A 22699-nucleotide genomic window follows, 5' to 3' on the forward strand; every position below is an offset into this window, starting at 1 on the left:
AAAAAGCAACAGCCCAACTTACATTACAGTAAACACTATCGAAAGTTTTTCATTTAAGTTAATTATACTTTTTAAAAGTTTAATTTATACAAAATAAATACAAGGAAGGAAATGCTACCTCTCCACCTGTTGAGGGTTCAATATCCGAGTATTTGGAGTCACAAACAATGTCTCCCACTCCCTGGGCCTGGCCAGATGTGATGTTAGGAAAGGAAGTGGCACAGTCTTTTGCAAAATATTTGAACACTTTCCAGTTGTGTCCATAGTCTGTGGAACGTTCAACTAACATTGCAGCAGGCCGAAAAGTCTAGGAAAAATGAGTAAAAGTTGGCACATTTCACAAAGGCAGATTTTATTATCAACTTCAGATTGAATATTTGTATTTTCTAATTCCATTTTTAAAAACTTTAGGTGTATCTTTTTGTTGTTTGTTTTGTTTTGTTTTTGAGACAGGATCTCACTCTGTCGCCCAGGCTGGAGTGCAGTGGCATGATCTCGGCTCACTGTAGCCTCAACTTCCCAGGCCCAGGTGATCCTCCCACCTCAGCCTCCTGAGTAGCTGGGGCTAGAGGTGCATGCCACCATGCCCAGATAATTTTTTTGTAGAGCCAGAGTTTTGCCATGTTGCCCAGACTGTTCTCAAACTCCTGGGCTCAAATGCCCACCTCAGCCTCCCAAAATGCTGGGATTATAGGTGTGAGTCACTGTTCCTGGCCAGGTCTATCTTTTAAAATCTACTACACAATACACACACCACAGTCTCTTTTCAGTATTTATGAGTACACACTTTGTCCTCATAATCTAATTACATTGTAAAAATGTTTATGGCTTTGTGAATTATTAATTGAAGAAAGATGGCTTATAAATGGAAAAGCTAATGTAGTTAATATTTTACAGCAATTTGTTGTGATTCTCTTTGCCAAGCATGCTTTTCCTCTGGCAAACTCTTATATATCCTTCAAACCCTATCCATGAAATTTATCCTGGTTCCCCACAGCAGATTTAGCCTCTTAAATTCCCCAGCATTTTAAATCAATCATCCCGCTAATTCTGTACTTATCACTTTGTATTATAATTTTCTATTATATTTATATGTTTGTATCCATGACTAGATTGTGAGTTCTTTGGAGACAAAGACTGGTGTTTTTTTTTTCATTTTTTAAATTTCATATTCATTTTTTCTTACCAAAACGAGCATAAAGTCTGACATCAAAATTAGAATTTTCCTGAATGATTAAAGAAGCACTATAGCACAATGATTTTCTCTGTCATCTGACTAATCTTAGTAAAGACTCTTTTAATTTTTCTTTCCCCTTGATTACAACCTTTCCATATTTACCTAAATAATTTCCAGTTCTTGCCCTTTTCTCCCAAAAATTATCTTTATAGTTCTTATGGTTCCTATCACCTCAGTACTAGGAGTTTTCCTTTTCTCTGTGTCTTCTAATTTTTTAAAAAAATCATATAGTCATGGTCATTGATTTTTAAAAAGTGTTTTTTTTTTCTTCATGTAAGAGTCAAAGCTCAGGTGGCAAAGGTCAAGTCTGAACTTATTCTGTTTTTGTTCACTGCAAGGAAGCAAGGCAGTGAAATTCCAGATAAACACTGAGCATTTAGGGAATAGATAAAAGAGGGGCAGCAGGCCTATTAGTCTGTACCTTAAAGGTCAGGATAAGGTGGCTGAACCGAAATAATGCCTCTAAGTCCAGTCTGATGCTGACATGATCAAGACCTAAGGAAGAATCCAGAAAGAAGAAAATCAGTGATTTTGAGAGACTTCTGCTTATCATGTTAATTCCCCATTGTGGCTTATCTGTAATAAAATCTCTTTGATGCCACAAGGCTGACGATCACTCTTCCCAGTCTGTTGGAGTGGTATCCCATGCCACTCCAAGCCCAGGAGGTATGCAGAGCAAGATAGGTTTCACCCTGACTGTGCCCACATCTGTGTTTTAGTGGCAACACACATGGCCACTATGTGGCAGCATTACATATGACCAAGGGAGTTTCAGGACATTTGCCCTAGGTGGAAAGAGAGAAAGAGAGGGTTCATTTCCTTGTACTGAAATCTTGACTACACATAAACATGAGCTAGCTAGCCAGAGGGTGGTAAAAACCAGTGCACCCATTTCTTCCAAGAGCTGCTATAGTCATTTGAACTAGAATTTCATTGTCACCTGGCATATAACACAGCTTGGAGTATTCCCCTTGGAGTGGGGACCTGTGGGCTCCTCTGTGGCTGAGGCGGTGGTAGAGGTAGCCTGGTCAGTGTTTTGCACTGAGCTAGTTATGATCCATCTCTAGCAGAGATGTGGGGTATCAGCCCTAACCTGGACACAAAAGAAGCCCAGATCTCTCTAGAGCAGCACTGTCCAACAGAAATAAAATATGAGACATGTGTGTAATTTTGAATTTTCTAGCAGCCACATTAAAAAAGGTAAAAAGAAACAGGTAAATTTGTTTGTAATAATAAACCAACATATTTAAATGTTATTTTGACATATAATCAATATTTTAAAAATTAGTGATTTTTTAAAGACAGAGTCTCGCTCTGTCCCCCAGACTGGAGTGCAGTGGCAGGATCTTGGCTCACTGCAACCTCTGCCTCCCGGGTCAGGGGATTCTACTGCCTCAGCCTCCTGAGTAGCTGGGACTACATGCTTGCTCCACCATGCCTGGCTAATTTTTGTATTTTTAGTAGAGACAGGGTTTTGCCATGTTGGCCAGGCTGGTCTCAAACTCCTGAGCTCAAGTGATCTGCCTATCTTGGCCTCCCAAAGTGCTGGGATTACAGGTGTGAGCCACTGCACCCTGCCAGAAAATCAGTGATTCTTTATTATACATTTTCTCCCAAAACTATGTCTTAGAAGTCTGGGATGTTTTTACACTTCCAGCCCATCTCAATTTGGATTAGACACATTTCAACTGCTCACACGGGACAGTATGGCTCCAGACGAAAGCGGCTGGACTACAGTGAATCGGGGTTCAGCCTAGAGTTCTAGGGTGAAAAGCTTAGGTACGTGTTTGCTGCTGAGTGGGCAGCCACATTGCAGGCTGAGTGTCAAGGGTCCTAACCCTTTCTAGGAAAGAGATCTGTCCCTCTCTCTAAGGTGCTTGGTTGAGAATCCTTGCTCTATGTCATTGGCTTGGACAGAGTGACATTCCCTTTGTGAGGAGATGTGGAACAAATGTTAGATGTGGGGGTCAAAACAGCCATTAAGCAAAAATGGCACCATTCATCAGGAGGACAGGTGGCTGTGGAAAAAACACCTCATATTCATTAAGGAGAGTCCAGCTGGAGATCAATAACAAGGATCCAAAATGAAATGGCATTTAGTAGACACAGTCAATCATTGGTCAAGTGGATGACATAAATAAAACAACCTCATCTTATGCTTGCCCTAAACTATCTTATATATTATGATTATTCCCACACTCCCTTCTAATGGTCTAAAATCTCTAAAGGAAATACATTCAGGAGTTTGTAGAGAATAGAGGAATTATAGTCCAAAGTGCAACACATAGCAATGTAGTGAATGAAATCATCTTGTGGGGGTTAAGGAAAACTGAAGAGTTCCAGACTAGTGTTAAAGAAGGGTCATCAAGAGTAGGCAAGCCTGCATTAGGAAAGTCCGGCCTGGATGGACATACATTTGGGCACATGAGGCCCATGGCTGGGGGTGGGACATGAGGATCCCTGATCAAGTCCACATTTATAGCGAGCATCTAGGAATCTGGATGGTCAGCGCCAATGTAGGCTCAATATCGCAATTGTTCATAAAGAGAGAAAGGCATACTTCAGTCCGTAGCCAGCTATCCTTTCAATTCAGAGATTTTACTTTGGCTTACAGTAAGAAGCAAAATGTTCTTTTCTCTTTCCCTTCATGTGTTGAAGGAAAAAGCACTTGGCGCTAACTCTCAGACTTCCCCTGGCATTATTCATTCAGTTTACATCAGTGTTTTGTATTAGGCTTAATTTACCAACACTTCATAAACTTTCTTCTTATTATTATTTTTTTACAAAGAACAAAAGGATGCAGAGATATTTTCTTCCACATGGAAAGAGTGAAACATTCTGAGTTATGTGCTTAAAATACATTTTGATTTTCCTGTAAAGGAAAGTATTCTTGTTAAAATGAAAATAAATTGTATTCTTATATGGGTCTCTACATTCTTGGAGGATACTGTTCCATTCCAATATAATACTTTGCTGTGACATTATTAAAACCATACAAGGAAGAGGATGTCATATTAAAATATTGAAGAAATAAACAACTGGAAAGGAACTTAAATCATACCATTTTCAGATTGCCACCATTTCTTTTCTCTGTCTGGTTCAAAACTTACAATGACATTCTCAATGGTGTGGCTGTTGGGTTGGTCATACGGATCATATGGAAATCTAGAGTCACAGATGAAGCATTTTTGTTCCCCCTGGAAAACACCATTATTAAAATTAAAAATAAAAATTGGAATTACATATTGTTGGGCTAAATTAAAGGCAAGCTGTACATACTATATTTGTCTTCCAAACTGGCTAAAAATAAAAGGCAGAGGAAATAACAAGACATCAAAATGCCTATCAGTAGGTGCCTAAGTACAACAATAAACTATGAACTAAAATTTTATAAATTTATACATTTGGAATAAAAATGCAAATTTATGTAAAACTAATTTTCTGTCATATAAGAGGCAGAGGATCTGGAAGTTATTTTAAACTGTACACAACTAATATGAAGAAATAAAAAATTAGAAATAGACCTCTTAGAAGGTCTTAGTGAATTGGAACTAGTTTTGCTTAGGATTTTTTTTTTTTTTTGAGACAGAGTCTCATGCTGTCACTGAGGCTGGAGTGCAGTGTTGCAATCTCCTGGGTTCAAGAGACTCTCATGCCTCAGTCTCCTGAGGAGCTGGGATTACAGGCATGCACCACCACACCCGGCTATTTTTTTGTATTTTTATTAGAGACAGGTTTTCACCATGTTGGCAGGCTGGGTCTTGAACTCTTGGCCTCAAGTGATCTGCCTGCCTTGGCCTCCGAAAGTGATGAGATTACAGGTGTGAGCCACTGACCCCAGCCTGCTTAGGATGGATTTTTGAAGGTTACAACAGCAAAGGCTGGCCTTTGAGTTTGCTTAATTTAATGCATCTACTTGCAGCTATACTTGAAACTCCTAAGGGGCTCTGTAAGGATTTCCAAAGCACTGTCAGTGGCCTGCAGTTATTCCTGGCTAATACTCAGAGGACTCTGAAGGAGCTCTTTTGCAAAGCTTCTGGGAAGCGGGGGCTGATCATTATAACCTTCTGTGCTGGAAATTGCCTACAACAGCATAGGTGCTCAGCTGGTGGCACTCAGTGCACGTTGCTTGTATGTCCTAGCCATGGCTCACAAGGCCCAACATGATCTGGCCAGGGCCACCTCTTTGCCTTTATGTCTACTTGGCTTTTCACTCTCTTGACTCTGGCTACACATGCTTCTTGCTATTTTTTAAGCACTTAGAGTCAGAAGAGTTCAAGTTGTTCTTCCTCCCAGCTAGTCTTATCTCTTGCTCCTTCCCTTATTTCAGGTTTCTGTTAGAATGCCTTCATTTCAAAGAGCCTTTCCCTGACTACCCTATTAAAATGCCACCATCTTTTCACCCCCATGGCCCTCTGCCACTCTCTATTTTTTGTCCTGCTTTATATATTTCCTAAGCCCTTATCACTACTTGAGGCTATATTATACAGTTGTTGGTTTATTGTCTGTCTCTATAATAAGAATAAAAACTGAATGGGGCAAGGACCTGGTTTTATTTATTGCTGTATCTCCATTACCTAGAATAGTGTGTGGTACATAGTAGATGTTCAGTAAAATTTATTAAATGCAGGATGATTTTAATGATTATTTCAGCTACAGTCAAAACAAATCAACCCTTCGAGAGATTCATATAATCAGTGTATCTTAGCATCACTGGTCACTATAGGCCTTATTGTTGAAGAAAGCCAAAATGCCTTTTGAAAATTAAGGCAAAATGGATCTAAATAAATTTTGCATAGGGGTAGGCCCATCCCAGTGACCAGTAGAAGCTTTGTGATTCTATCAAAAGTGATGGTCTTCAAATAATTTCCAATAATACTATGGAAATTACTTGAGAAAATGTTTAACTTCAGGGCTTGTGGACCATTTTTTGGTTAACATTTTAGAAGTATAATCTTTGATGAGGTTGGCTTCAGAGGATGCTAAGTTGTGGCCACTAAATGTGAGTTCCATCTTGGATAATTTAATAGGTCAATGTTGACTGGAAGCTTCTGAACAAAATGTTTTGCTTGGTAGCTCTTTCTTAGATAACAGATGGGAAAAAATCATCCTCCATGCTGCGTGAATGTTTGTCTAGACCAGTGGTCGTAGCCCCTTCTATAATACACTTTGTCAGCCTGAAATATTTTGAGGTTTTTTCCAGCTCTAAGCTTTCTAAGATTTCTGTCATTCTCTAGACAAAAGAAGCCTCCACAGTTGGAGTTACTTCTATTTTTGGTGGTATAACTTTGAGATATAAGAACACCAATTTCTAATTATCATCAGAGTATGTTGGCTCAGGCAACAGTAAGCAAATGCCAGTGGGAGAACAAGATGGCTGGCGCTCATATTGGAAAGTGGCGGTGGCTCATGCCTGTAATTCCAGCATTTGGGAGGCTGAGGCAGACGGATCACTTTAACCCAAGAGTTGGAGACCAGCTTGGGCAACATAGTGGGACTGGTCTCTATAAAAATACCAAAAATTAACAGGGCATGGTGGTGCTTGCCTACTCCACCAGTAGGTGGAGTAGCCTCCCCTACTTGGGAAGCTGAGGTGGGAAGATCACCTGAGCCTGGGAGGTTGGGGCTGCAGTGAGCTGTGATCATGCTACTGCATGCCAGCCTGGGTGACAGAGCGAGACCCTATCTAAAAAATAGAGTTGAGAACCAATTCTTTGTCCAGAGCACCTGGACTTAGTAGTCACCTGGCCTAGAGTTGAGCAGAACTTCCACCATGTAATTTCCTTGCACATGCAGAGAATTTGCTTTCTTACACAAGTACTTCCCAAACTTAGAACAGTGATATGCACCCAAGTATTGTCTCCACTTATTTATAATAGTCACCTTTTACTAGAAACCAATTTGAATACAAAGCATTTCCCAGAGACTTAAGCAGTTGCTTTAAATGAACAATACATGGAAAAGCCTGGACCACTAACATTAGGCTTATGTCCAACTTCCTTCCTGCACATCCTCTCATTTATGGGGTGGACGTGATTACCTCAGGGTTTTTGGTAGGGACGATACTCAGATGACCTTGGATGCTTGTTCTGTTCCCAGTACATGGAGAGGAAAAGAAACCTGAAAAGCCACTTATCCTTTTATAAAACTGATCTTTAAGGGGAAAAGGCACAAAACTATGTTCACATTGGGAATTTATGATTTTTAGACAGTATAACTTCCAAGTAGTATTATGTTGGTGTACAATCAATTCAAAGTTCTACACCTCTTCCATCTCAAGGCAGAGCAATGAGGACTCATGTTCAGCATAATGGCAGCAGGCCCTGATGAATCTTCAAACTTCATTAAATGAGTCAATTAGGTTTCCTCTATGGGAGTGGCAAAGGTAGCCAAGTAGACTAGTAAATTTTATAGCAATTCCTTACAAAGACTAACCAAAAAGACTTTTATGTCTCATTCTGAAGGTAACAGGAAATGGAAATTAAGCAAATCTTCCTTATTTTTGATCAGTTAAGGTTTCCTGGACTTTGAATTACATGAGAGTTGGCTCTCTGCATCTGCAAGTTCCATATTTGTGGATTCAACCAACCAAGGATTGAAAATATTTGGGAAAAAATAACAACAATAAAACAATAACAGGGTAGGCCCAGTGGCTTAGCCTGTAATCCCAGCAACTCAGGAGGCTGAGGTGGGAAGATCGCTTGAGGCAAGGAGTTCGAGATCAGCCTGGGCAACATAGTGAGACCCTGTCTCTAAAAAGACAAAATTAAAATTAGCCAGGTGTGGTGGTGCATGCCTGTATTTTTAGCTGCTTCAGAGGCTGAGGTACACTCCAGCCTGGGCAGCAGAGTGAGACCCCTGTCCCTAATGAAATAAAAATAAGATTAACAATATAACAATAAAAAGAACACATTTTAAGATGTAGTGTAATAATTATTTACATAACATTTACATTATGTTAGGTATTACAAGTAATCTAGAGATTATTTAAAGTACATGGGAGGATATAGGTAGGTTACATGTAAATACTATGCCATTTTAGATCAGGGACTTGAGCATCCATGGATTTCGGTGTTGGGGGAAAGGGTCCCGGCACCAACGCCCCGTGGATACTGAGGGACAACTGCACCAGTGTCTCCATTGTTTAAAAAGGAAGTTGTCTCCTTTAATGTCTGAGTAGCCCCAGGTGTACCTGGAAAAATCTACATCATTGATTAAATAATGTCCCAGCAAATAAACAAAGAGCCAACCCACCTCCAGGTAACTGAGGATGCAGTATTTCTGGGCTCTGCTCAGCCCACAGGTAGAAGAAGCCATAAGCTGCGTGTTCCTGCCCACCAGGAGATCACCAGTGGTGGGATGACAGGCACCCCTGTTGCAGTCATCTTGAGCTTTTGAGTAACTGAGCCACCCTTGAACACAACAGAAATAGCTTACACGGAAGGCAGTCTAAGGACAGCACAGGGCCTGCAGAAATGACTGGTTAAGGGGGAAAGTTATGTATTTATTTAATATTGGCCAAAGATGTATCAGACTTTTAAGTTTATTAATAGATGACAAATGGTCCCTACTTTGCTTGCTGGGTGGCATGAGGTGTAATACCTCTTTGAGTCTTTTGAAATCTGTATTTCAAAATACAGATTTGGATTAAAAATAAATACTTCTAAAATGTGTTGAACTGAACTCCATATCAGCAGGATTCTCCATCAAAAAGAGATACCGAGAATAATACACTTGAAAGATACTGCATTCTGTATCCCTTTCTTATTTGCAATGGACACCCGCATATGAAAGTCCAAGAGATGCTTCCATGAAACTAAAACGAACAAAACAAAACTCTTTAATGTTGTTTAATCTAGCATTTCCCAAATTTATTTCACCATGGAAGGCATTTTTTATTCAAATCAGGTTAACATTTTGTGCAATACTAGGAAAACACTTGGGAAATCCTAAACTCAATTTTGTTTAAGTGTCTTCCAGTCTTAAAAACCCTATGAATTTTGCCAGGCACACTGGCTCATGCCTGTACATCTCAGCACTTGGGAGACTGAGGTGGGAGAAGTGCGTGAGGCCAGGAGCTCAAGACCAGCTTCTTCAATATAGTGAGACTCCCATCTCCACAAAAAAATGAAAAGAAATTAGCCAGGCATGGTGGTTCATGCTTGTAGTCCCAGCTACTCAGGAAGCTGAGGCGGGAGGATTGCTTGAGCCCAGGTATTCAAGTCTATAGTGAGCTATAATGGTGCCATTGCAATCCAGCCTGAGTGACAGAGCAAGACCCTATCTCAAAAGCAACACCAAAAACAATCCTATCATTTTGGAAATGGGGAGGTCAACATGTCTTACTTAGAGATTGAATTTAAAGTTAAATCTCAGGAATTAAGTTATAAACCCATATAATCAAATTATTCTGGAAAATTTCATAAATTACCTATATAGTACAGCATACATGGTTTTGTGTAGACAAATCCTAACATAACGTTTGAGAACTATCAAGTTAGATAAAGAAGGAAACAAAGGAAACTCTACATGCAAATGAGCAAGCATTCTAATCATTCCGAGTTAAGATAACTGTTAAACATCTATACGGGCATGAGGGGCAAGTAGGGTCATCTGAAATAGTTCTTTCCATCATGTTATCTAATACATTTTGGTAAGCAATAATTTATTAATGGATTTGTTAATTGTTGGGAAGATTGAATAAAACAAAGTGGAATCTTACTGGGGGTTAAGATCTAAAGTTAACACACAAAGTTAAACATATATATAATGAGTGTCTACTGTATTTTGTGGGTAGCTACTTATGTTACAGGAAAGGGGTCCCGACCCAGACCCCAAGTGAGGGTTCTTGAACCTCACACAAGAAAGAATTCAGGGCGAGTCCATACGGTAAAGTGAAAGCAAGTTTATTAGGAAAGTAAAGGAATAAGAGAATGGCTACTCCATAGACAGAGCAGCCCCAAGGGCTGCTGGTTGCCCATTTTTACAGTTATTTCTCGATGATATTCTAAACAAGGGGTGGATTACCCATGTCTTCCCCTTTTAGACCATATAGGGTAACTTCCTGATGTTGCTATGACATTTGTTAACTGTCATGGCACTGATGGGAGTGTAGCAGTGAGGACAACCAGAGGTCACTGTCGCGGCCATCTTGGCTTTGGTGGGTTTTGGCTGGCTTCTTTACTGCAACCTGTTTTACCAGCAAGGTCTCTATGACCTGTATCTTGTGCTGACCTCCTATCTCATCCTGTGACTTAGAATGCCTTAACCATCTGGGAATGCAGCCCAGTAGGTTTCAGCCTCATTTTACCCAGCTCCTATTCAAGATGGAGTTGTTCTGGTTCACATGCCTCTGACACTTATAGAAATAGTTTTTTTTCTTTTAAAAAACTATATATGAAAAAGACAATATTATTTTATTGTTAATTCAATTAAAGCATTAGAATCCTGTTTGATTCTGGAGGCCAAATCTAAGCTCTAGTTTTCTCTTTATTGCAATTCAAAATGATAGTGATAATTTTGTAGATGTAAAATAGCCTCTAGATGGAAGGGCAGAGGACCTAGAATGGCTAAAACATTTTGAAAAAAGAAAATAAAGGCGAAGGAATAGCTCTATTCAATATGAAGGCTTACTATATAGCTATAATAAAGAACAGACTGCGATTTTGGCAGAGGAAAAGACACCTAGATCAATGGAACAGAATAGAGAACCCAGAAATAGACCAATAAAAATATGTCCTACTGATTTTTGAGGTGCAAATGCAACTCAATGGAGGAAGAACAGCCTTTTCAATAAATGGTGCTGGAGCAATTGGATCCATAGCCAAAAAAAGAAAAAGAAAAAATGAACTGCAAGCAAAACCTCACACCTTATATTAATATTAATTAAAAATTCAGCATAGACTTAAATGTAAAATGTGAAACTATAGAGCTATGAAACTCATATAAAACATAGGAGAAAATCTGGCATTTAGGGCTAGGTGAATAATTTTTAGAATTGCCAAAAAAAAAACCATGATCCATAAAAGGAGAATTTAGAAAATTGGACCGTGTCAAAATTAAAAACTTTTGCTCTGAGAAAGACCTTATGAAGAAGTGAAAAGGTAAACTATGGAGTAAGAGAAAATACTTGCAAACCATATATCCAACAAAGCTCTTGTACTTACAATTTAATAAGAGCTTTCAAAACTCAACATTAAAAAAGCCAATCAAATGAGCAAATGGCAAGTGACATGAACAGAACACTTCAGTGAAGAAGATACACAGATGGCAAATAAACACATGAAAAGAGGTTCAACATCATTAGCCACTGGGGAAATGCAAATCAAATCACATTGAGATATCACTACACACCAATCAGAATAGCAAAGATAAAAATAGTGATAACACCAGATGCTAGAAAGGATGTGAAGATCCCGCATACCCTGCTGGTGGGAATGAAGAATGGTATAGGCACTCCTAGGAAGAATATGGTAATTTCTTACAAAACTAAGCAGGTACTGATCAAGCAACTCAGCAAGGGAACTCTTGAGTATTTATCGCAGAGAAATTACAACTTATGTTCACACAAAAACCCTATACAAATGTCCACAGCATCTTTATCTGTAATAATAAAAAACTGGAAACACCCAATGTCCTTCACTGGGTGAAGGGTTAAACCAAGTGTGGTACATCTGTACCATGGAACCTAGCAAAAAAAAGTAGTGAACCATTGATACAAGCAACAACTTGGATGGATCTGAAAGGAATTGTGCGGAGTGAAAAAAGGTTATGTACTGCATAATTCTATTTGTATCACATTACTGAATGACAAAATTATAGAGATAGAGAACAGATTAGTGGTTGTCAGTGGTTAGGAAGGCAGAGGGGGAGGGAGGTGGATGTGGCTATAAAAGGGTAGTACTAGGGATCCTTGAGGTGGTGGAACTGTTCTGTATCTTGACTGTGGTGATGGGCACATAAATCTATATGGTGATAAAATGGCATAGACTCAAATACACGCACACATGAGTACATGTATAACTGGTGAAATCTGAATAAGGCCTGTGAATGACATCAGTGTTGATTTCCTGGTTGTGATATCGTGCTATAATTATATAAGATGCTATGACTGAGAGAAATTGGGTGAAGGGGTATATGGTCTCTCTCTGTGTTATTTCTTACAGCTGTGTGTGACCTTACAATTATTTCAAAATAAAAAGTAAAAGAGACAAACAATCCCCAACCCCCATCAACCTCTGGATGGTAAACCAAGCAAATCCCAGACTCTAAAAATACACATGTGACATGTTCTAGCTGCTCTTATACACTTTATCCTTGAGACATGAAAATTTGTGCCAAGCCTTATTTCAGTAGACAGGAGTGACAGGGATGGGCCTATAATAAAAAATAATAACCATACAGTGAAATCAGCTTGGTTTCTTTTCAGTTTTCTCCATTTAAAAAATATAATAATCTTTTCATGAACTTGTTTTACATTTAATGGCTTTCTTTCCTTCGATTTGACCTCCAAAATAGCCTATATGGTTATTGAAAAAAACGTGTTATTTCTCTTACTTAAACATTATTCACATGAACTATTAATCTAGTCATTTTGTATTATTAGGCATGTAACAGACATGGATCATAAGTTCTACAGCTAAGAACATGATAATGTCTCCACCCACACAAGTTACTAAATGACACTTTGAACAGGAAATTTTCTATTCTCAATCTCAATGTAAAGATTATTATTCTAAAACAAGGGCACATTTCTTTCTCTTCTGAGATAGCTATGTGAAGAAAGCTAGCTCCATTGGACACTTGCTGTTTTGTGGTATAATAAATGGTTAATGCGGACTTTTATTTAACCAGCAACCCACATTCATATTTTGTTTGTTTGCTTGTTTTCCGGAATTGGTATCTAGGATAAATAGCTATTCAGAAGTTTGGACTCCAATAGACCAAAGATTTTTAAGGACAATATCAGGTATAACATTTCCGTTGATGTTACATGTGAATAAAAGAAGACTTCCCTTCCAGGGATTTATACTTTTAGACAAGTTCCATCCTGGATTTTTTTTTAATTGGAATTGTTGCCTTAGAGATTTAACATGTTTTTATAACCTGACTTGGCCAAACTTGTTTTTGTCAGAATTTTTTTTTCAGAAAATATATTCCAGGACTTAGGGAAATTTAACTATTATTCCTGTAACATTATAAGTGCAAATATGAACTTCTTGTCTAAAATATTTGGCAAAAAGTGACTAGAAATGTAAATAGTTAAAGTTTCATGCCTGAACATAGACTAAGCAATATCCTTCCTGGGATGAAGTTTCCAAATGCCAAATCACATTAGCAACGGGTTGGAATTAATTCAGAAAATAAACATGTTTATGTCTTTTGACAATCAACACGTTCCTAAAAGATGACGCAACCTGAAGATAGAACCTGAAGATAGAATGTTATGAACTTTAAGAATGTTATGAAATTCCAAAATGAATTTAGGAGATCTGGTCATTTAAGGAAAATATACAGTAAATTTTCTGTAAAGAATTGTTTTATAGAAATTACTGTTACTATATAATTTCTCTAGTATTTCTGCATGTTGTCATAATTTTCTCAAACACATGAGATGCTTTCTCACACTTTAGAGTTCACATCAGAGCTTTAGAGGATGTAAACACATGTTTATACGTTCATGCAGATTATAATGGGTGAGAAAAAATACCAAGAATGCGGCCTGGCACGGTGGCTCACACCTGTAATCCCAGCACTTTGGGAGGCCGAGGTGGGTGTTTCACCTGAGGTCAGGAGTTCAAGACCAGCCTGGCCAACATGGTGAAACCCTGTCTCTACTAAAAATACAAAAAATTAGCTGGGCATGGTGGGAGCACCTGTAATCCCAGCTACTCGGGAGGCTGAGGCAGGAGAATTGCTTGAACCCAGGAGGTGGAGGTTGCAGTGAGCTGAGATCGCACCATTGCACTCCAGCCTGGGCGACAAGAATGAAACTCTGTCTTAAAAAAAAAAAAAAAAGAACGCATGTAGATAAGGTTTGCACTTTTAGTGAAGTTCCTAAAACCTATGGGGCAGTGCACTTTTTATGATTATTTCTCCTTATATTGCTCAGTCAGAAGATAAAACTAAGTGTTTAAATAGGCTGCAGTATTTATGTAAGTGTCTATGTTCAAACTATCAATGGGAAAATTCCCAAGCTGATGATATGTAGCTAACCTGCTTGGGAGTTTGACCATGGCAACTCAAGAGGTTTGGTTAAGGTCAGGGCAAGCTTATATTTAGAAATGTACGATTGATTGCAGTGAGGTCTTTTCTGCCCAAGCTAATTTAGTTTAGAAGATTGCTTCTCCAGAGAGAGGAGTCCCCTAATTGAGGAGGGCTCTCTCAGCAACTGTGGATCGGTTTAGAACTTTTGCAAGATGTAAGTAAGATATTCTATACAAAGGCTGGGGAGAAGGTAGAGTGATCCTCAGTGGTCCCTTCTGATTTTGGATATTGGTTTAGTTTCAAAGAGAACATGTAAGGCAGGTGCAGGTTAAAATAACTGTTTTTCTGAATGAGACCAGTCCTGGGATGTGGAGGATGAACTGAGGGCTCCAGATGAATGACAAGTTTCTGTTCCCACTGGGCTGTGGCTCACCTCTCCAAGGCAGGGGATTTTCAACAGAGAACAAATGAGTGCTTACCATCTGGACTATTACCAGCAAATCTAACTGGAAAATTACCTCAGGGTTGGAAAATTGTGAAGAAAAAGAAAAAGGTGAGATTCTGAAGGTTTGTTGTCATGAAGAAATTCAGCATAAATCTTTGAAGTGAAGATTCTAAGCAATTTAGTTAGTAATCAGTAACCAAAAGCAGGCCTGTTTTCGATGTAGAAAAGTCAGATCAAAGAGAGTAATTGTTGGAAACATCTTCTCTATGATTAATGTAAATTGTTCTCAGCTTATTAAAGACAGCAGGAGCATGGAGAATTTGGCCTTTTAGCTTAGAGCTGCTGCTTACTTAGAAGAGGGAATTTTGCCTGTAACTTCTTCACAAGACCTCATTGCTGGGAAAAGTGTTACATTGAAAGCACAGCTATTAAAAAAATTAGATGCATTGTATTTGTAAATTAAGACACTGAAACTATTCTCTGTTCTTTAATATTTTACTTATCTGAAGATAACATTCCATTAAAAAGTGATAGAAATAGCTATATGTGGATACTAAACATGTTGGAGTGGAATTTTTCAGTTGCTTGACACAATTACACAACAACAACAGAATAGCTACATAAGCATACAGCACTATAGAAGACAGAAGTGAATATGTTTAAAAACTATTTCCATTAAATATTTTAGGACAGCGCAAGCAGTAAATAGATTTTGACAACAAATACTCACCAAGGTGCAAAAAAAGGGTCAGTTGAAATTGCATTCTTTTGTCAGGAGATGATTAAATTCAATTCTACTGGGTTAAAAAAAGGTTAAAGTCAATCACTGATAGAAGAAATAATTGCCATCATCACATGTTATGTAAAAGTGCTTAGGGTTATCGAATGGTTCTTATGCTTTAGACATACGAAATAACCACACTGTCCAGATCCTCAAAAAATAAGAGTGCATAAACATTTTAACAAATATTTGTTTGCTCTTAATGTTTGCCATTTTTTGAAATCACAGAATTCAATTGTTTGTGGGAAATAAGAGGAAACAAATATAATTTCCTTTGCATATTTTAATTTTAACCTACTTTTTGCCCATTCTTATTTAGAAACTTTTTCTTCTAAAAATTACACAGTTAATACATACTTATTATAGAAAAAGTAGAATATTCAGACAGGCAAAATGAAGAAAAATATCACCTATAATACCACCCGCAGTGGGCCATGATTGCACCACTGCACTCCAGCGTGGGCAACAGAGCAAGACACTGGGGATGGAGGGAGGCCCCTCTCTCAAGAGCCTTTTCTTCCATACTTTTTCCTTGCACAAATAATTTTCAAAAGTATTATCACACTGTTTTCTTATTTCGATCAATACATTCCAGGCATCTTTCTGTACTAACAAATGCACTTTTAATTAGTGATATTTTATCAAGATTAAGATCACCTGGAGTCTCCTATAAAGCAAACTTGTGATTTTCTTCTTTGTAGATTTGGCCATGGCCCTTGAGAGAGAGGCTTCCCTCCATCCCCAAGTTACCATTGAAGAGAGTTCTGATCCAGAGTGGAGTACATATACACTTCAGTGGGTCTGGAGAAAAGAAGGTAAAATTTGTAATGGTTTTTTTTTTTCCTTTTTTTAAGACAGTGTCTCACTCTGTTGCCCAGGCTGGAGTACAGTGGTGCAATGGTGGACCAGTGCAGCCTCAGCCTCCTGGATTCAAGCTGATTCTCCCACCTCAGCCTCCCCAGTAGCAGAGACTATAGGCATGTGCCAGCATACCCAGCTAATTTTTATTTTTTGTAGAGATGGAATCTCATTGTGTTGTAAGATGGACAACAGTATTTTTAATTACTGCATAGTATTAGTCTGAATGTAGAAACTAGAATTGATTTAATGAATTCTCTATTGGTTGATGTGTACTTGGTTTATAATATTTTCCTATTATAAATATTTCTGCTAAATCTTTGTTTATAGCCTTATTCACTATGATATAGTAAATGGAGCAGAAATAATGAGCCAAAGAGTATATGTGTGTGTGCATATAACCATATATGTATATAAAGATTGTATATATATACACATACACACACATGCATATATACAAATATACATATGTATATGTGTGTATAAAGCTTTTGATGTCACTGTCAAACTACCATGCAGAAAGTTTGTTCCAATTTACACTCTTATAACCAGACTGTGAGCACTGCTAACATGAGCCCTTACCAACATGGAGTATTATTTTTAAATATCTGTCAGTTTAAAAGGCAAAAAAAAAACAACCTCATTATAATTTATTTGAATAGTAGGAAATATAAAACCTCTTTCACGTATTTTCAAGTGAGACTATTTTTTCACATTCTACCTTCGAGGCTTTTCCTTGTGAATCCGTTACCCTCCTACTCCCATATTCCCAGTCCCTGCACATGCACAGTCCCTGCGCTCCAGCCTTAGCACTCCAGTTTCTGTTTTCTGAACCTTCTTTGCACGCTGTTTCCTTTGCCTTGAATGTCACCCTCCTAAGCCCAAATGTCAGCCTCCCTATGAAGTCTTTTTAGGGTGTTTTGCAATGCCTGATTTTAGGCAAATATCCCATTCTGTGATTCAGGCTCTTTATGAAGCCTAGGGTTCACTTTGGAAGTCCAATGCTGGAAAGTGACTCACTGAGAAACAGTCCTCCCATAGTAGCTCCATCAGAATGAGCTCTACCTGTTGGAAAAGTCTGCAATCTTGGGCTAATGGCCTCATACAAAACCTTGTGAAGACCTATAGGAGAATCCAGGTTACAGCTATAGGAAGGTCCATTCTGTATAGGCCACCCGAACCTGCACAGGCACTTTTCTAGGTGGTACTTTCTTACTGCTTTTTTCTCACAGGCAAGTCAGGAGCTTGGCTTCTGTTCAGCCGCCCAGATATACTTCTGATAAATGAAATATCTAATCCTGATGCTGTCCTGTATTTAGAACTGCCCGTGTGCTTCATTCTGTCTGGAAATGCAAAATGATTGGCATTATGGGCATTTAATAAGAATGGGCATTATTAGCAAAGTTTGAAAGTATGATTCTCTATAACCAAAGAAACTGAATTCAGTGAGATGACAATCTCTGTGAATAGCCTACGATTCATGGCTTGTAATGATCTAGGCTCTGAGTTGCTGGGGTAAAGTGCTACATAGGATATATCATGGCATTCCTGCTTCTCTCCAGTGGAGAACCTATTCACAGGGCAGAGTCCAAAGCAAAAGACTGTTTCCAGCTACAAATGATGGGCTAATCTTTTCCTACATCGGACAGGTGGGAGTGAGGCAGACTGCCGAATTCCCAGGACTCAGATTTAGAAAGACAGGAGGTGGAACTGTAATGCTGAACGCAGGAGTAAAAGAACAAGCGGAATGCCTTTTGCAGAGCATTTGGGGGAACAAAGCTTCCTCAGTATCACAGTTCACCACATTTCTATGATAAAAATGACCTGCTGAAAATTTCTTCAGTCCATATGGGAATTCTCTTCAAGCAACAATAAAGGTCATGGTACAAAGACTACTGGACTTCCCAGTGTACATCAGCCAGGTTTAAAAATGACCTGCCCCAAAGGAGCAGCAGGAGGAGTCAGAAACAGATCCCAAATTGAACTAGAAGAGATACAATTTCCTTATTGATAATTGGTTAAGGATTATCACAGTTGCTATGTGAAGAGATAAATGACAGAATCACACAGCTTGCCAATAATTCTGTTAGATCAGCAGGCCACAGCCCTGAATGCAACTGAGAATCACTTGAGAAGATATTTTTAATGACTTCCTTTTTGAAATATTTATTTTTAATTGTGGTAGAAATACACCTACATAAAATTGACCATCTTAATCATTTTTACCTGTACACTTCAGTAGTGTTAATTACATTTACATTGTGTGCAACCGATCTCCAGAACACTTTTCATCTTGCAAAGTTGAAACTTTGTATCCATTAAACAAGAAGTCTTCATGTCTCCCCGAGCCCCTGGCAGCCACCGTTCTACTTTCTGTCTCTATGGATTTGACTACTCTAAGTATCTAACATATGTAGAATCGCACAATATTTGTCTTTTTTGTGACTGGCCTATTTCACGTAGCATAATGTCCTAAAGGTTCATCCATGTTGTAGGATGTGTCAGAATTTCTTTCTTTTTTTTTTTTTTTTTTTTTGAGACGGAGTCTCGCTCTGTCGCCCAGGCCGGACTGCGGACTGCAGTGGCGCAATCTCGGCTCACTGCAAGCTCCGCTTCCCGGGTTCACGCCATTCTCCTGCCTCAGCCTCCCGAGTAGCTGGGACTACAGGCGCCCGCCACCGCGCCCGACTAATTTTTTTTTTGTATTTTTAGTAGAGACGGGGTTTCACCTTGTTAGCCAGGATGGTCTCGATCTCCTGACCTCATGATCCACCCGCCTCGGCCTCCCAAAGTGCTGGGATTACAGGCGTGAGCCACCGCGCCCGGCCTTCTTTCCTTTTTAAGGCTGAATAATATACCATTGTATGCACCTGAGGAGATATTAAACTACCAGTGCTCAGGCCCACCTCAAACTAATTAAGGCAGAATCTCTGGGGTGGGACCCAGGTGTCAATGTGTATAAAACACTCCCTAGGGGATTCTGAGATGTAGCCAGGGTTGAGAACCACTGATGGCTTGCCAATACCTAAAACGGATTAATTTGCCCCTCACACTTGCTCTGCTCCTGGATTCCCTTCTAAGAGAAGGGCATAACCCAGTGCTTTCCAAACTTTACTGCACATTAAAATCACCAGGGTTTTTTTTTTTGTGTTTTTTTTTTTTTTTTGAATCCTGCTTCCCGGGTCACATTCCATACCAATTACACCACAATATCTGGGGTTAAGGCCCCGACATCAGTATTTTTAAAGATTCCAGGTGAGTCCAATGGGCAGCAAAATTTGAGACCCACTGCATAACCATGGACCAACTGTCTCAGACTAGAAACTTGAGGGTTACCTTTGATTCCTCCTTTTCTTACCCTTCAAATCTAAATTCTTCTCATCAAGCCTATTTGATCTTATCTCCTTAAACAGTGGTTCTCCAAGCGTAGTCCATGGACTTAATAAGATAACCAATTCATCCTAGTTTGCCTGGGACTTTTCTGATATTCTCATTGCAAATCCCCAGGTTCGGCAATCTCTCTCAGAACCAGGCAAACTTACATGGTTGGTCACCCTACCAGATGAGCAGCATCAACATCATGTGGAAATGCCAATGATCAGGGCCCAGCCAGGGACCTACTGATTCACAGACTCTGGGATGGGGCCCAGCATGCTGCCACGTGCCCTCCAGGTGAGTCTGATGAACGCTCAAGTTTGAGAACCACTGCCCTAAGCAACTCCCAAGTCTTTGCACTCCAAAGACTGATGGCTCCTCAGTAGTAAGACTCTGCAGGCTGTCGTGTTGGGGTGAGTACAGGACATTTGGCAATGTTTGCAGACATTTTTGGCTGTCATAATGAGAGGAAGATGCTGTATGGCAGACACACCTGAAAGCAATAACTTAAGCAGACCCTGAGAAAGACCTGTGGTCTAAAAGGAATGTGTGTTTAGAGTTCCAAGCTAAGGAATCCGGGAGTAGCCAACCTGAAGATTCATTCCTTATCTATCAGGAACATCTGAACCCCTGGCCCATTCTATGGAACACGGTCGATACAGGGGATCGAGGTCCTTTGTTTTGTTGTAAACAAAGGTTGCCAGGTGGAGGTTGTTAGAGGGAGGGTGCTCAGTGAAAATGCTGTATGAACTGCATGACTTTTACAAGCAGGAGCGGTTCTCCAGTGCAGCCTTACATACAGCCATGGGTCTGCCCTGTGTATAAGTCCCCTTCAATAAACCCTATGTCTTGTTCGCTGACTCCAAGTCCCTTCTTTGGCCTCTCAAACATGGTGCCATCCCTACTGAAGTCAATAGGGTTCTGGCATGACAGACGCTACTGGCATTGAGTGTGTAGAGGCCAGGGGTGCTGCTAAGTAAATATTCTACAATATTTCTGGGCCCTACAACATAGAATTAAGCATCCTAAAATATCAACAGCGCTGAGCTTGAGAAACTTTCTCAGTGGCTTCAGTGCCCTTAGCTATGGGCCTTATCATCTCAGCCCTTATTTCCCAAAATCACTCACCTCTAGTCTTCCTCCCCATTTTCTATTTCCCATTTTAGGAGAGCTAAGCTCCAAACTAGATAAGTATTATAATGAATCTGGCAACTTCTAGAAGTTCTGTTATCTGAAATCACCTATCCAGTCATTATAAAACCCACAGCTGCACATACAGCGCAATATCAGAAAATGTGGTAACCCTGTGCATGCCTTCCTTCGTCAAACTATAAGTTTAATTGGTACTGCTTTTCGGGTTGGTTTACCAGAGCTGACATTGGAAAGCCTCTCAGGGGCTACATGGCACTCTTTTCTTGTTAAATTCATCAGTGAGTTTTAGTAATATATGTAAAAGTGATTAGGAGTAATAAACAAAACATTTTCCCTCCTTTGGATGAGATATGTATAAACGTATTTCCAAAGGCGCTGGGTGCATTTTGGTAGCCGTTTAATGAATGCTGCTAGATGACACTGGTCTTAAAATGTATTAAGTGTTGCAATAAACAGTGAAATATATTAGACTGAAAGTAACTTTCTGGCATTGCTAATTTATTTAATTTACTGACCATTCACTTATATTTGCCTCATCTGCTCTCACTTGAAGGCTGCAAAGAGTTTACTCTTTTTTGTCAAAACAATTTGGATGAAACAGATGAAGAGAAAAGGGCCATGTGGTGCCCATTTGCCCAGCTCCTAGAACCACAGGTGCATCGTGTTTGATAAGAGCCTCTCCGCAGGAAAGACATGCATTCCGCTCCTGTTTCTACTACAGCACCTTTCTTCTGCAAATTGGACAGTAATTTATAACACAGAAGATAATTATAAATACATTTATATTAGCCCTTAAGACTTTTTCTGGTACACAAATAATTGTCTATAAAGTGACAGTTCTCAGAAATCTTGTATTTAACTTTCCTTTGTCTAACTTTTTTTCATGTTATGTCAGGACTCATTAGATATTTCAACTGTTTTGCCTAAATTTCATCATAGTGAGGAATGCAGAATACAGAACTATAAAGTTTACTTTTTTTTTTTTTTTGGAGACAGAGTCTTCCTCTGTCACCCAGGCTGTAGTACAGTGGCACATTCTTGGTTCACTGCAACCTCAACCTCCCATGCTTAAGCAGTCCTTCCATCTCAACCTCCTGAGTAGCTGGGATTACAGGCATGTGCCACTACGGCTGTATAGTTTTTACAGAGATGGGGTTTCGCCATGTTGCTCAGGCTGGTCTTGACCTCCTGAGCTCAAGCAATTTGCCTGCCTCGGCCTCCCAGAGGGCTGGGATTACAGGCATGAGCCACCATGCCCGGCCAAGTTTATGTTTCTTTTAGTTATAGCAGACTTGCTTTTCTTAAAACAATATTTACACATATCTAGAACATTAACAAAATATTTTGAAAATATGGGTAGTTCTAATGCATTTAAACTTTTATAAGTTGTCATAAGTTTTATAACCATAACAAAAACAAACATTTGCTGAAAACACAATACAGTTGTACATTTCAACACTACATCATTTGAAGCTCCCTTCAAGGTACAGTAAGGCTCAAGTTGTTGGCTTCATATCACAATGCACTAACATCAATTTTCCCATTGGATACTGTTTTATGTTGCAAGAACCTTTATTTAAGTGTCATTGGACTATCATTCTGTAAAAGTAATAGTAATCTATGTGCTAATATGTCCCATTTCTTA

At 39.2% G+C, this 22699-nt stretch overlaps 1 protein-coding gene across 12 annotated transcripts in view; it reads right to left on the reverse strand.

Moving 5' to 3' along the window:
• LAMB4 (laminin subunit beta 4) overlaps positions 1-22699 on the reverse strand; it is a 118700-nt gene that overhangs the window by 95851 nt on the left and 150 nt on the right. For 10 of the 12 annotated variants that reach the window (XR_927421.2, XR_927422.2, XM_011515975.2 and 7 more), the window contains exons 2-6: positions 15619-15685; positions 8492-8649; positions 4299-4434; positions 1659-1732; positions 119-307 (exon numbers count right to left, since the gene is read on the reverse strand). Coding sequence is in view for 10 of the 12 variants with exons in the window: in XM_011515975.2 (XP_011514277.1) it covers positions 119-307; positions 1659-1732; positions 4299-4434; positions 8492-8649; positions 15619-15652 (591 nt within the window). In the remaining 2 variants the exon portion in view is untranslated. The remainder of the gene's footprint in view (positions 1-118; positions 308-1658; positions 1733-4298; positions 4435-8491; positions 8650-15618; positions 15686-22699) is intronic. The other 2 variants (NM_001318046.2, NM_001318048.2) reach the window with 1 other exon arrangement.

The sequence above is a fragment of the Homo sapiens genome, chromosome 7 (assembly GCF_000001405.40).
Source record: "Homo sapiens chromosome 7, GRCh38.p14 Primary Assembly".
Taxonomy (NCBI): domain Eukaryota; kingdom Metazoa; phylum Chordata; class Mammalia; order Primates; family Hominidae; genus Homo; species Homo sapiens.